The sequence below is a fragment of the Homo sapiens genome, chromosome 2 (genome assembly GCF_000001405.40).
Source record: "Homo sapiens chromosome 2, GRCh38.p14 Primary Assembly".
NCBI classification, from domain to species: Eukaryota; Metazoa; Chordata; class Mammalia; order Primates; family Hominidae; genus Homo; species Homo sapiens.
This window is the reverse complement of record NC_000002.12, coordinates 200,535,776-200,551,299: the sequence shown is the minus strand read 5'-3', so window position 1 is coordinate 200,551,299 and position 15,524 is coordinate 200,535,776. Positions and strand designations below refer to the sequence as shown.

Below are 15,524 nucleotides of genomic sequence, written 5' to 3'. Positions count from 1 at the left end.
TATGACTGAATAATACGCCATTGTGTATATATCTTCCATACTTTATCCACACATCTGTTGATGGGTGCTTAGGTTGATTCCACATGTTGGCTATTGTGAATAGTGCTGCAATAAACATGGGAGTGCAGACAGCTCTTTGATACACTAATTTCCTTTTTTTTTGGATATATACTCAGCAATGGAATTGCTAGATCATATGGAAGGTATATTTTCAGTTTTTTGAAGAACCTCCATGCTGTTCTGCATAGTGGCTATGTTAATTTACATTTCTACCAGTATATGATTCCCCTTTTTTCTTTTTTTTTTTTGCTACTTAGTTGTTTAAGCTCCCAATATATGCTGGTTATTAATCCTTTCTCAGAGAGACAGTTTGCAAATATTTTCTCACATTATATGGGTTGTCTCTTCACTTTGTTGATTGTTTCCGTTGCTGTGCAGAAGCTTTTTAGCTTGATGTAATAATCTTAGTTGTCTATTTTTGCTTTGGTTGCCTGTGCTTTTGAGGTCTTACACAAGACATTTTTGCCCAGATCACTCCTGAAGTGTTTCCCCAATGTTTTCTTCTAATAGTTTCATAGTTTTGGGTCTTAGATTCAAATCTTTTATCCATTTTGATTTGATTTTTGTGTATGGTGAGAGATAGGAGTCTAGTTTCATTCTTCTGCATATAGTTATCCAGTTTTCCCGCACTATTTATTGACCACTATCCCTTTGTAAGTTCTTGGGACCTTTGCAGAAGATGAGTTGGTTGTAAATGGTGCATTTATATCTAGGTTCTCTGTTCCATTGGTATCTATGTCCATTTTTATGCCAGTACCATGCTGTTTTGTTTACTACAGCTTTGTCATAAATTTTGAAGTCATGTAGTGTGATGCCTCCAGCTTTGTTCATTTTGCTCAAGATTGCTTTGGTTACTCAGGGTCTTTTGCGGGTTCATATAAATTTTTAGGATTTTTCCCCCTTATTTCTGTGAAGAATGTCATTGGTATTTTGATACAAATTGTATTGAATCTGTAAATTGCTTTGGGTAGTATTTTCATTTTAACAGTATTAATTCTTCCAATCCATGAGCATGGAATATCTTCCCTTTTTTGGTGTCCTATTTCTTTCATCAGAGTTTTGTCATTTTCCTTCTATAGAACTTTCACCTCTTTTGGTTAGATTGATTCCTAGGTATTTCATATTTTTTGTAGCGATGATAAATGGGATTGCTTTCTCGACTTCTTTTTCAGATTGTCCACTGTTGGTGTATATAAATGCTACTAATTATGTTGATTTTGCATCCTGCAACTTTACTGAATTCCCTTATGTGTCCTAACAGCTTTTCAGTGGAGTCTTTATAAGATCAGGCAATCTGCAAACAAGGCTAATTTGACTTCTTCCTTTCCAATGTGGATGCCCTTTATTTTGTTTTCTTGCTTAGTTGCTCTGGCCAGTACTTCAAGTATTATGTTGAATAGCAGTGAAAGTGGGCATTCTTGTCTTGTTCCAGTCTTCAAAGTACAATGCTAGATGTGGGTTTGTCATAGATGGCCTTTCCTACTTTGAGGTATATTCTTTTTATACCCATTTTGATAAGTGTTTTTATCAAAAAGGGATGTTGAATTTTACCAAAAGCTGTTTGGCATCTATTGAAATAATCATACAGTTTTTGTTCTTGTTTCTTTTAATGTGGTGAATCACATTGATTGATTTGTGTCTGCTGAGCCATCCTTAAAACCCTAGCATGAATCCCACTTGATCATGGTGAATGTTCTTTTTAATGTGTTGTTGAATTTGACTTGCTAGTACTTTGTTGAGGATTTTTGCATCTATGTTCATCAGTGATATTGGTCTGTAGTTTTATTTTTTCGTTGTGTCCTTGTCTGGTTTTGGTATTAGGGTAATGCTGGCCTTGTAGAGTGAGTTTGGAAGTATTCCCTCCTTTTCAAAGAGTTTTAGTGGGATTCATAATCATTGTTTAAATTTTTGGTAGAATTCAGCAGCGAATCCATCAAGTCCTGGGCTTTTCTTTTTTTGAGACAGGGTGTTGCTCCATCACCAAAGCTGGAGTGCAGTGGTGTGAACACTGCTCACTGCAGCCTCAACTTCCCAGGCTCAAACAGTCCTCCCACCTTAGCCTCCTGAGTAGCTGGGACCACAGGATTAGCCTGACAGGATTAATCCTCACAGGATTAGCCACCATACCCAGCTAATTTTTTATTTTGTAGGGACTGGATCTTGTTATATTGCCCAGGCTGGTCTCAAACTCCTGGCCTCAAGCAATTCTCCTGCCTTGGCCTCCCAAAGGGCTGGGATTATAGGTGTGACCCACTGTGCCCAGCCTGGGCTTTTCTTCAATGGGAGAGTTTTTATTATAGCTTCAATCTCATTACTTGTTATTGGTTTGTTGAGGTTTTCTATTTCTTTATGGTTTAATCTTGGTAGGTTATATGTGTCCAAAAATGTATTCATTTCTTCCACATTTTGTGATTTGTTGGTGTATAATTATTCATAATCGTCTCTAATAATTATTTATATTTCTGAGGTCTGAGGTGTTATGTCTCATCTCTTGTTTGATTTTATTTATTATAGTCCTCTCTCTCAGTCTAGCTAAAGGTTTGTCAATGTTGTTTATCTTTTCAAAAAACCAACTTTTCATTTTATCTTCTATACTTTTTTAGTATCAATTTTATTTATTTCTGCTCTGATCGTTATTATTTCTTCTGCTAACTTGGGATTTGCTTTGTTCTTGCTTTTCTAATTCCTTGACATGTATTTTTAGGTTGTTTATTTGAAGTTTTTCTCCTTTTTTGATATACGCATTTATTGCTATAAACTTCCCTTTCAGTATTGCTTTTGCCATACCCCATACACTTTGCTATGTTGTATTTCCCTTTTCATTTAAGAAAATTTTCAATTTCCTTCTTACTTGCTTCTTTGACCCATTGGTTGCTTAGGAGCATGTTGTTTAATTTCCATTTGTTTGTGTATTTTCCAAAGTTCCTCTCATTTTAATTTCCAGTTTTCTTCCATTGTGAAGATACCAGATATGATTTATATTTTTTTGAACTTGTACAGATTTGTTTGTGCCTAAGATATGGTCTATTCTTAAAAATCTTCCATGTGTTGATGAAAAGAATGTGTATTCTGCAGCAGCTGGGTGAAATGTCAGTTAGACCTATTGTATCTAGTGTGCAGTTTATGCTGTTTCTTTGTTGATTTTCTGTCTGGATGATCTGTCTATTACTGAGAGTGGGATGTTAAAGCCCCCTACTATTACTGTATTGCAGTCTCTCTCTCCCTTTACATCTAGTAATGTTGGCTTTATATGGAGCTGCAGTGTTGAGTGCATAGATATTTATAATTGTTATATCCTCTGGTTGAATTGACCCCTTAATCATATAGTGACCCTCCTTTACTGCCAGTTTTTACAGTCTTTGTAGTTTATCTTATCTGCTACGAGTACAGCTACTCTTGCTCTTGTTTTCTAGTTGCATGGAATATCTTTTTCCAGCCCTTCTCCACTTTGTCTATATGTGTCTTTGCAGGTGAAGTGAGTTTCTTGAAGGGAGCACATAGGTAGGTCTCATTTATTTATCCATTCAGCTACTCTATGGCTTTTAACTGAAGAACTGAGACAATTTATATGAAAACCCACAAAAGAATTCTATAATTTAACTCCACCCTCCAACATTTTGTCTTTTAGTTGTATCAATTTACATATTTTTATATTATCTATTAACAGGTTGATATAGTTTTGATAAATTTATCTTTTGGGCTTCATGCTAGAGTTTGAGTGGATTGCACACCATAAATACAGTTAACAAAGGATTCTGAGTTTGTCTGTGTACTTAATTTTACCAGTGGGTTTTATACCTTAAAAAGTTTCCTTTTGCATGGTAGTGTTTTTTACTTTCAGATTGAAGAACTCCCTTCTGCATTTCTCACAAGATGGTCCTTGGTGGTGGTGAATTTCCTCAGCTTTTGTTTATCCGTGAAAGACTTTAGCTCTCCTTTAAATTTGCATGACAATTCGTTGGACACAATATTCTTGGGTGTCAGTTTTTTGTCGTTGGTGTTGTTTGAGTGCCTTGAAAATGTTGTTCTACTCCCTCCTGGCCTGCATGGTTTCTGTGGAGAAGTCTGTTGCCCCATGAATTGGAGCTCCTTTGTGTTATTTGCTTCTTATCTCTCATTGCTTTTAGGATCTTCTCTTTGTCTTTGACCTTTGAGAGTTTGATTATTATATGCCTTGAAGTTGTCTTATTTGCATTGAATCTGTTTGGTGTTCTCAGGCCTTCCTTTACCTGGACATGTATATCTTTCTCATGTCTTGAAAAGTTTTCTGTTATTACTTCTTTGAATAAGCTTCCTATGCCTTGCTCATGCTCAGCTCTCTCTTAAACACTAATAATTCTTAGATTTGGTCTTTTGGGGTAATTTTCTGTATCTTGTAGGCACTCTTCATTCCTTTTCCTTCTATTTATTTTTCTCCTCTGACTGTGTATTTTCAAATAGCCAGCTCACTGATTCTTTCCTCTGCTTGGTTCATTCTGCTGTTAAGAACCTCTAAAGAGTTTTATAGCTCAGCAAATGTATTTCTCAGTTCCAAGATTTCTGTTTGACTTTTTTTTATTATTTTAATCTCTTTGTTAAATTTCTCTGATAAATTTCTGAGCTGCTTTTCTTTGTTATCTTGGAGATCACTGAGTTTCCTTAAAACTACTATTTAGAATTCTTGGTCCAAGAAATCACAAACTGCCACTTCATCAGTCACTAAATTTCTGCTTTTTGTCCTTTTGGGAAGCTCATGGCTCCTTGTCTGCTGTAGTTTCTAGTGAGTGTAAGTCTATGTCTTTGCCTTGAAGGATTATTTATTCCAGTTTTCTTTGTCCAGCCTGTTTTGGATTTTATTGAATATATCTGCCTAGCAAATCTTTTTTTTTTTTTTTTTTTTTTTTTTTCCAGATGGAGTCTCGCTCGATAGCCCAGGCTGGAGTGCAGTGGCAGGATCTCGGCTCACTGCAAGCTCCGCCTTCTGGGTTCACGTCATTCTCCTGCCTCAGCCTCCTGAATAACTGGGACTACAGGCACCCACCACCACGCCTGGCTAATTTTTTGTATTTTTTTTTTTTTTTTAGCAAATCTATACTGCTAGTTTGCTGCCTTCTTTTTGGCTCCAGGTGGTGCCTTCAACCCAGGTTCACCTTGGAGCTAGTAAATGGTTGACCACTGCCTGTCCCAAAATGGGGGAGGTCCCAAAGGGTTTAGGACAGCAATGTGGGAAGGCTGGCTAGGAGTTCACACCCAGGGGACCTGGGGAATGCACCTCCTACAACCACTCTCATTTGGCGCTTCCTTTGGCTGAGTTACAGAGCAGAGTTTCTGGGCTGGGGATGGTAGTCCAGCCTTGCTTGTCTGTCTCTGCCTGTCCTCCGGGATATTTCTCCCTTCAGGCAGTCATAATGCTACCCATCAGTTAAGGCAAGGACAGTTCTCCTGACAGGGAACTGAAGAAGGTGGGGAAGCTGGCTGACCATTTCAATTTTGCTTTTTCCAGTATAGAAACTGTGAGTTGAGGGGAGATTTTCCACATAGTTCGGGCCTGGCAGAATGGGAGGGAGGGGCATTGCACATGTGGAAGTGCAGTTCTCCTACCATCTGCTCAGAGTTTTTCCACCTCTTTTTGGCCCCGGGAAGTATCTCAACTAGCTTGATCTCTGGGCTGTTGATGGTGGTAGATCTTGGCACTGTATATTTTGTTTTGTTTTGTTTTGTTTTGTTGGGGCAAGAGAAGCCAGCTTATCTTACACTGCCGTTTTAGAACCAGAACCAATAAAGATTTTCTCAAAAGGACACAAAAATTAGTAACCGAAAAGGCGGGTGAGGGAGAAGATACACACCTCCCCGCCACAAACAAAGTTGGATTTCATAAAGAGCTACTGGTCATCTAAAGACACCATTCAGAGAGCAAAGGGGCAAGCCACAGAGTAGAAGATACACGAAGAATATGCCAGGCATGGTGGCTCACACCTGTAATCCTAGCACTTTGCGAGGTTGAGGTGGGCAGATCACTTGAGCTCAGGAGTTCAAGACTAGCCTGGGCAACATGGCAAAACCCTGTCTCTACAAAAAGTATAAAAATTAGCCGGGCATGATGGCATGCACCTGTAGTCCCAGCTACTTGGGGGACTGAGGAGAGAGGATCGCTTGAGCCCAAGAGGTCAAGGCTGTAGTGAGCTGAGATTGCACCACTACACTCCAGGCTGGGTGACAAAGTGAGACCTTGCCTCACATACAAAAATATGTATACAAAGAACACCTTAAAAAATATGACAGATAACCCAATAGAAAGTAAACATATGAAAAGATACTTAACTTCTTAATTATCAGGAAAATTAAAAATAAAACCACAAAATGATACCACTATACATCCCTCAAAATGGCTAAAATGAAAAAGACAGACAATAACAAGAATTGTTGAGGATACAGAACAACAGGAATCCTCATATATTGTTAGTAATAATGTAAATTGGTATAACTCCTTTAGAAAACTACTTAGCAGTTTCTCCTGAAGCCAAAGATAGATAGATAGATAGATAGATAGATAGATAGATAGATAGATCTCCCAAGTAATTCTACTCCACACTATATACCTAACAGAATGTGTGCATACCTTCATCAAAAGGCATATATGTGGCAGCCCTATTTGTAATAGACCAAAACTAGAAAACCAAGTCAGGTGTGGTGGCTCATGCTTGTAATCCCAGCACTTTCAGAGGCCGAGGTGGGAGGATTACTGGAGGTCAGGAGTTGGAGATCAGCCTGGCCAACATGGTAAAATCCTGTCCCTATTAAAAATACAAAAATTAGCCAAGAAGAGTGGTGGGTGCCCATAATCCCAACTACTTGGGAGGCTGAGGCAGGAGGATCACTTGAACCCGGCAGGTGGAGGTTGCAGTGAGCCAAGATCGTGCCACTGCACTCCAGCTTGGGTGACAGAGCAAGACTCTGTCTCAAAAAGCAAACAAACAAACTGGAAAACCAACAAAATGTTGACCATAAGAAGAATGGATACATTGTAGTATAATCATACAATTGAATACTATACAGCAATGAGAACAAATAATTTACAACTACATACAGCAATATGGATGAATCTAACAAACATAATGCTGGGCAAAAGAAGACAGAGACAAACATACATACTGTATAATTTCATTATATGAAGTTCAAAACCATGTAAAATTAATTGATCTATAATTAGAAGTCAGTATAATATTTTATCCTTGGGTAGGTGTTGGGTAGTGGGTAGTGACTAGAAAGGGACACAAGGAAGTATCTGAGATGTTGGTAATATTCTGTTTCTTGTTCTGGGTATGCATTACACAACAGTGTTCACTTGGTGAAAATCCACCATGTTTGAATATGTATAATATACTTCAAACAAAAGTTCACTTAAAGACACACAATACAATTTTTTGGAGGACAAGTTGACACTTAATTTGCATATCTATATGAAACAATACGTGCATAATGACAACATACTTTTGAAAAACTACTAAGGATCTAATAAACAACAAAATTTACTATTTTAAAATTACAACAATTAAAATGTACTGGTATGAAATGGTAATAACACACATAATAGGCAAGTCAATGGAACAAACTACAATGAATTGAAAGTGATACAGTAAATATGAGAATTTTTTACTATGGCACAGATAGCATTTCAATAAATAAGTGCATTTACTTGTGCACTTAAGTAAAAGCATTAAATCTATATGTTATATATAATAGAAAGAACATTTCTAAAAGAGACAACAGGATTTTGGTCAATGCTATCAATTCATTCAATCATTTTGCCTCTCTGAGCATCACTGACTGACTTGTAAGATGACAGATTTGAAATAGGGTGCTTTCTATAACTTATAATCAAATTAATAAAAAATGAGAATTGTGCACAGGAGGATAAGAGCAAAGACAAAAGTTAATTTTGTTTGTTTGTTTTTTTGAGACAGAGTCTTGCTCTGTCGCCCAGGCTGGAGCGCAGTGGCGCAATCTCGGCTCACTGCAAGCTCTGCCTCCCGAGTTCACACCATTCTCCTGCCTCAGCCTCCCAAGTAGCTAGGACTACAGGTGCCCGCCACCACACCCGGCTAATTTTTTGTATTTTTAGTAGAGACGGGGTTTCACCATGTTAGCCAGGATGGTCTCGATTTCCTGACCTCGTGATCCTCCTGCCTCAGCCTCCCAAAGTGCTGGGATTACAGGCATGAGCCACCACGTCCTGCTGGTCGACAAAAATTAATTTTAAAGTTTAGGACAGTACACAGGATAATAAAGGTAGAAACAGTCATCAGATTTATCCAGCAAAAATCAATATAAGGCCAGGAGTGAACTAGATGAAAAGAAAAAAAAGAACTATAAAGTAGCAAGACATTACAAATAAACCTGGTTGGGGGATTGACCGTAAGTTTCCTTGGAGTCCTAGAGAAACAACCTATAGCAAGACACTACAAACCAGCTCATTTCTACGTTAGTAGATAACTACAGGTTGATGATCCTGAACACTGTACAATACACACAAACACTAATTGTGTTATATAAAATCTATATACTCTGAACTAGTGTAATTCAAGCCCATATTTACCTTGCAAATGGAAGACGCATCAACTTGCACTGTTTACTAATTCGTTTCTTCTTGCTAGCTGACAGTAGAAAGGAACTCTGATGGAACTATTTTTGAAAAAAATAAAGAAAACAAAGTTTCTAACCTTATTAAATCATGTTAGTTATCACAGTACCAAATTATACAATGACATTAATAGTAAAAGAACAATTTTTGCATTTACCTTTAATAATTTAATGAGAATAATGTGATAATAAGGTTAAAACACAGTGCATCCTTAATCATGCCAACGAAAGATAATCACTGCCAACATTTTGGTATATAACCTCAACATTCTTCTATGTGTAGGAATAAATACATGACTATACCTACACAAATACAATATCTTTACATACATGCAATATGTTCATGTCTACATATGTATTATGCAATATTTTATTGAATTTTATAATACATCTTTTAAATGGCTTTTTAAAATTCAAAATCTGGGTGATTTTAATATATCTTTTATATATTTACTTATCCATATTTCTAAATTTTCAGATACAAACATGTTTTAATTATTAATAAACACCAGAAAATTAGGCAACACACAACCATGTTTTTTATTACAGAGCTAAGCTGTAATAGAAACAAGGGAATGGTGCCAAATTATCAAGCTGATTTTAAAATTCATATGAAAATGCAGAAGACCTAGAATAGCTAAAAAAACAAAGAAAACTTTGAAAAAGAAAAAAGTTAGGAGGGTTACAGTAATTGAGACAGTACAGTATTAGCATAATGATAAGACAAATAGATCAATGACATAGAACAGAGAGTCCAGAAATGGATTCACATATATTTGGTCAATTAATTTTTGACAAAAGCACAAAGGTCAAAATGGGGAACCTAAACTTCCACACTCACCAGGCTATAATAAGACAACTCTCTTCCAAATCAGCAGTACCATCAGAAAAGGCTTGGGACAGCCCAGTGTTAAAGAGCACATCCCCGCCCAACAATGTCAGTGGAGGACATATTTGGATCTCCATCCTGTTTCATATTCTTTTTATGAGATAGTCAGTTGGGTGTAGCCATTAAAAGAAGGTAGAGACTCAGGAAAAAAATAAAGTTTATTATACTTGCAGGTCCTAGAGACAAGAGGTACAGCAGGCCATGCAGAGCCACACAGAAAAGACACTAGGATGGTCAGAAGGCAGAAGATGGGAATGAGGGGAAGGTTTAGGCCAGAGCCTATTATTGGAGTTTCCATAGGAAAGGCAAGACAGGGCAGGGTGAATAGTCTAGAATTGGCTAGTTTGAATAATTTTGGCAGGCTCTAAGACACAGGAGAGGTAGGTCCCTGGTTGCCTAGTACCTGACCCTGGGACGATCAAAGCAGAGGACCATTGCCTCCTGAGATATAAAGGCCAGACAGGGGAGATATGGCTCTGGATTAGTTAGCTTGCATATCAAAAGTGCTATGGTTTTGAATCTCTCCTCCAAAACTCATGTTGAAACTGAATTACCATTGTGATGGTATTAAGAGGCAGGACCTTTAAGAGGTAATTAGGTCATGAGGGCTCTGCCCTCATGAATGGATTAATGCTGTTATTGCAGGAGTGGGTTACAGGAGTCTGGTCTCCTTTTCTGTCTTGCATGCTTTCTTGCCTTCCACCTTCTATCATGGGATGACACATGCCAGATGTCAGCATCATGCTCTTGGACTTCCCAGCCTCCAGAACTGTGAACCAAATGAATCTCTGTTCTTTATAAATTACCCAGTCTTTTTAGAGAATGAAATCTCAAATGAAAAAAGAAAAGAAAACAATAAATTACCCTGTATGTGGTATTCTGTTATAGCAGCAGCAAACAGACTAAAACAAAAGACATGCTCCTGGCTGGTCCCTTGCTATCTCTAAAAATTGGCTAGCCCTGAGAAGGGCAGTGTCTCCAGCCAATAATGTTTTAAAAGATGTAAAAACATCATAATACACAGAAAATAAAATGTCTATATGCTATACATCCCCATTCAGTGATAAGAAGGAGTTCCCCTCCCTCTCCTCTATGGTGGGGATAGAAGTGGTTTAATAAAGAACTAGGATTTTCATCACTCTTCAGTAGTAACAACCTCCCCCCTTCATTATCCTCCTCATCCTCATGTCAGCAGAGGCCATGAAAGTAATGAGGTGCACCCTTCCCTGTTCCAGCCATAGTGGTGTCAGCCTGAACTCTCAGACCCACTCATCAGTTATGCCCACCACAGTGTTGTCAACAGAGGCTGAATGGGAAGTCTAAACTTCAGTCCCCACTTGGCAGTAGGCAGCACCTCCCCTTACCACCAGTGTAGTGTCAAAGGAGGTCTGCTTAAACACAAGATGGAAATAAGATCCAATGTCTTATAATGCATCTAAAATGTCCAAGATACAATCAAAAATCAATCACTTGTCATACCAAAAATCAGGTAACTCTAAATTTGAATGAGAAAGGACAATAGATATCATCACTGAGATGACACAAATGTTGGAATTATCTGACAAAGATTTTAAAACAAGTATCATAAAAATGCTTCAACAAGCAATTACTAACATGCTTAAAACAAATGAAAAAATGGAACATCTCAGCAAACAAATAGATACAAAGAGCCGAATGGAGCTCAGAACTGAAAAATGTAATAACCAAATAAAATAAAATAAATTAAATGGGCTCAACAGCAAAACCGAGAAAAAAAGGGGGGAAAGAAATCCCTGAACTTGGAGATAGAACAATAGAAATTACTCAAACTGAACAAGAAAGAAAAGAGACTGAAAAAAATAACAGAGGGTTAGGAATTTGTGGAATAGCAAAAAAGATAAAACATTCCTGTCATCAGAGTCCTAGAGGAAAGGAGAAAGAGAAAGAGGGCAGGACTGGAAAAGTACTTGGGGACATTATGGCTGAACATTTTTCCAAACTTGATAGAGACATCAACCTACAAATTCAAGAAGCTGAGTGAACCTCAAAAAGATAAACTCAAGGAAATTCATGGCAAAACACATCAAAGTCAAAATTCTCAAAACTAAAGACAATTTAAAAAATTGAAAGTATTGAGAGAAAAATGGCATCTTACCTACAGTTAACAATTAAAAAAAGCATTGACTCAAAGTTAGAAAAGTAACAATGAACCACAAAAAGGCAAAAGAACTTATTAAAAATAAAAGCAAAAAATGTTTGAAACATCAAACATTAAATTAAATTAGAAAGATGATTCTTTTAAAAGAATAAAATAAAATAGAAAAATCACAACAACCTAAGATAGTGGGGAGAAAAAAGACAAATAAAAGCCCAAATACATAAAATTAATCAACTGGGGAAATGCAACACAGACAAAATTAAAAGAATAATGACAGACTACTCTGGTCAACTCTGTGAACATCCATTTAAAAACTTAGATGAAACAGATAACTTTCTAAGGAAAAATAATTTAATAAAACTAAACACAAAAGAAAGAAAGACATTTTCCTAAGGGGACCAATATCCACAGGATAAATAAAGTCAACAAAAAGCTACTATCACTCTCATCAGAAAAGTCCCAGGTCCAGATGGTTTCACAGAATAATTCTACAAAACCTTTAAAGAAAAACAATTATAATACTGTATCACTTTTAAAGAACATAGAAAAAGTAAAACATCCAAATTCTTTTTATGGGCTTAGTATATATAACATTTTTATCAATGCCTAAAGACTGTATGGTCTTATGTTTTTTTCCATGCATAGAAAAAAAACCTCAGAGTCCTCACTTATAACTAACAATAGAAAAATCTTAAGCAAAACTGGCAAAAAAGAATTCAGCAGCATATTAAAAGAAAAATCACTTCTGAAGTTTATTACAGAAATGTAAAATTAGGAAAGTTACTAAAATAAATAATCATACTAAGCCACCTAAAAAGACCACATCATCATCATACTAAAAAGATACTTACATTACTTAGCATTATTTGTATTTAAAAAGCTCAATCAAAGAGGGACTGCAGGAAATATATGTACCTTACTTATTTACATATAAAACAAGCATCAGTCTTACTGGGGAAACACTACCTAATATTTTATATGTATTTATTGCATCCTACTATGTTCTAGATGTTGTTCTGGTAAAGACATCCCTGCACTCAAAAAGCTTACATTCTGATGGGATGAACAATAAACAAAATTGTCATACAGTGAGTGTTAAGTGTTAAGGAGAAAGATTAAAGAAGAAAAGCAGGATATGAAATGTAAGTGCAGGGGTGAGGAGTGTTTAAATTTATGCAGAGTTGCTAGGGAAGGCTTCACTGCAGTCACTTTTGAGTCAACATTTGAAGGACGGGAACTTGTCACATGCAGACAGAACATGTACAAAGGCACTATGGTAGCAGCTCACCTCTGAGGGAGTGGGAAGAGAACTGCACTGAAAAGGTTAAGGAGTGGAAGAAAGAGGAGAGTAGCAAATGAGGTGGAAGAAATAAGAAGAGTTTCAGTTTTCAGATCACATCAAGCAATAGATAAGACTCCACTGGAGAGTTTGAAGCAGAGACTAACATTTTAACAGCATCACTCTGGCTGTTATAATAAGAAGAGAATACATAGAGGAACAAGAGAAAAAGTAAGAAGGCCAAGTTGGGATGCTAATATTAATACAATATGTAAGTAAGACATAACAGTGCCTTGGACATGCGTGGTGAAAGAGGATTGTGAGAACTGGTAGAATTGTAGACTGATTTTGAAGGCAGAACTAAAATGATTTGCCAAAGGATCAGATATGGGGTGTGAGAAAAAGACAGGAAAAGAGAGTTGTGATTACCTTAGATGAAAATCTCAAAAAGAACTGGTTTGGTGGCAAATGTGAAATTTGAGATGGCTTTTAGACATCCAAACAGATGCCAAGTAGGTAATTAGATATAAATTGTCTGGAGGTCAGAGGAGATGGTCAGGCTGGAGTTACAAATTTGAAAGTCAACAGTGTATAGCAGTAATTAAAACCATAAGATAGAATAAAATTATTTAGGAGGAGTGAATGTAGATAGAAAAGAGAAGTCCAAGAACTGAGTCATAAGGCATTCCCAAAACTTAGTAAAATAAAGAGAAACCAGCAAACAGACTGAAAAGGAATAGCCAGAAAGGTAGGAAGAGACTTAGGAGTGTGTGGTATTCTAAAAGTCATGTGAAGTCAATAGAAGAACCAAGAATTATCCGTGGGTTTTCGCAACATGGACATCAATGGTGACTTTCAGGATTTAGTGGACTGGTGGTGAAAACCCAATTGGCTTGGGATCAAGAGAAACTAGAGATAGTGAATAAATCTCTCAAAAAGCTTTGCTGTAAAGGCAAGAAGAGAGCTGAGATAGTAGCGGGGAAGTAGGTGAAGTAAGAGGTTTATTTATTTATTTTTTAAGATGAGAGATGATAACATTTTTGCATCCTGATGGGAATAATCCAGAAGGGAGGGAAAAAATTAATGATGCAAGAGGGAAAGGCACTCTACACTAACACAAGCCAACAGCAAAGGATAACCCAAGTGTCCAACAACAGGAGCCTAGTGAGGTAGATTACAAGTCCACTCTGGATCTATCCAAAGCAGCACCAAAAGAGAATGAGGAATCACTCCACATAATCATATGGAGAGATCCCCAAGATATGTCACATAAAAAGGTATAGAACATCTGGTATAGCATGCTATCTTTTGTGTAAAGAAGAAAAGTAAGAAAATATTTATTTTGTTTGTTTGTTTTTATATAAAGAAATAGATGAAAGCAATCACCTGCATGAGGTACAAGGAGAAGACAGAACGGAGAAGAAAGTAGCTGAAGGCGGACAAAAGCATGTGTGAAACTTTATTCTATACTTTTCTTATCTCGTTCTGATGTTAGAACAGTACGTCTATATGACCCATCACCTGCCCCACTTAGTAACAACTAGAAAGAAAAAGAATTTTAAAGCTTGGTATGCAAAAGTTAGTCTGTTAAATAGTAAGTTCAAGAAGGTAGCTACCAAGAATGTATACTGTGCCTTCACCTCCAGCTTCTCCATCTACCTGCTGTCCAGTTTTTACTTTTCCTTAATCTAGATGTTGACCTCAGCCCTCTGAATTCTCCAAAAAGAACCACATGAAAAGCATTTGGGAAATTTAGAATTTGTTTTAGAAAACAGTATAAAGTAGGACCAGCCTCTATTTTTTTCCCCAGTTTTTCAATTGTGTCCATCTTTAAAACAAACAAACAAAAAACAAAAACCCCAAAGTCTTTCCTCACTTAAAATGCTTCCTTTCTACTAATGTCTTTATGTTTCTGAGTCCATTTAGGAGCCAGTATGTTCCACTAACCTGTCTAATCCTGTTACTTTTAATAAAAACCTAATTTTCATATGACATTTTCAATAACCAATTATACAAAATGATAATATGCTGTTAGCCAGTTAAAACTGATATTATCATCAGTCCTTTGCACAAAACTTGAAATGTGAATCTCTAACCTTGATGTTATTTAAGTAATCTCAGTGATCCTCAGTAATCTAAAGAACAACACTATTTACATATAAATTCTACTTACCTCAGAAAGACTGCTCATTTCAATTGCAGTTATCAAGTTATTGTTCATGAGAGCTTCTATGTCTATAAGCTTCTTATTCTGCACATGTAAAATAAAGACCCCTTTTAATCAGTTAAGACTTGTAATTTATTATAATATCAGGCATTTATGAATGCCATCCATGTGAGAAAACTTAAAAAATAGTTGATATCATATTGAGCTAAAAATTGAGATCACATTCAGCTAAAATGGTATATTATATAGTACCAAATAGTATTATATAGTCCAAATAGTCATACATATCATACATACATACATGTATACACACACACACACATATGTTGAATACTTTAGAACAATTTTGTTTTCCTATAAACATTTTTCTATC

At 36.5% G+C, this 15,524-nt stretch overlaps 1 protein-coding gene across 10 annotated transcripts in view; it reads right to left on the bottom strand.

Annotated features, from left to right (window-relative positions):
* SGO2 (shugoshin 2) overlaps positions 1-15,524 on the bottom strand; it is a 57,955-nt gene that overhangs the window by 32,797 nt on the left and 9,634 nt on the right. For all 10 annotated transcript variants that reach the window (XM_017003452.3, XM_005246345.5, XM_005246344.5 and 7 more), the window contains 2 exons: positions 15,158-15,235; positions 8,636-8,721 (listed from right to left, as the gene is read on the bottom strand). In XM_017003452.3, coding sequence (XP_016858941.1) covers positions 8,636-8,721; positions 15,158-15,235 — 164 coding nt within the window. The remainder of the gene's footprint in view (positions 1-8,635; positions 8,722-15,157; positions 15,236-15,524) is intronic.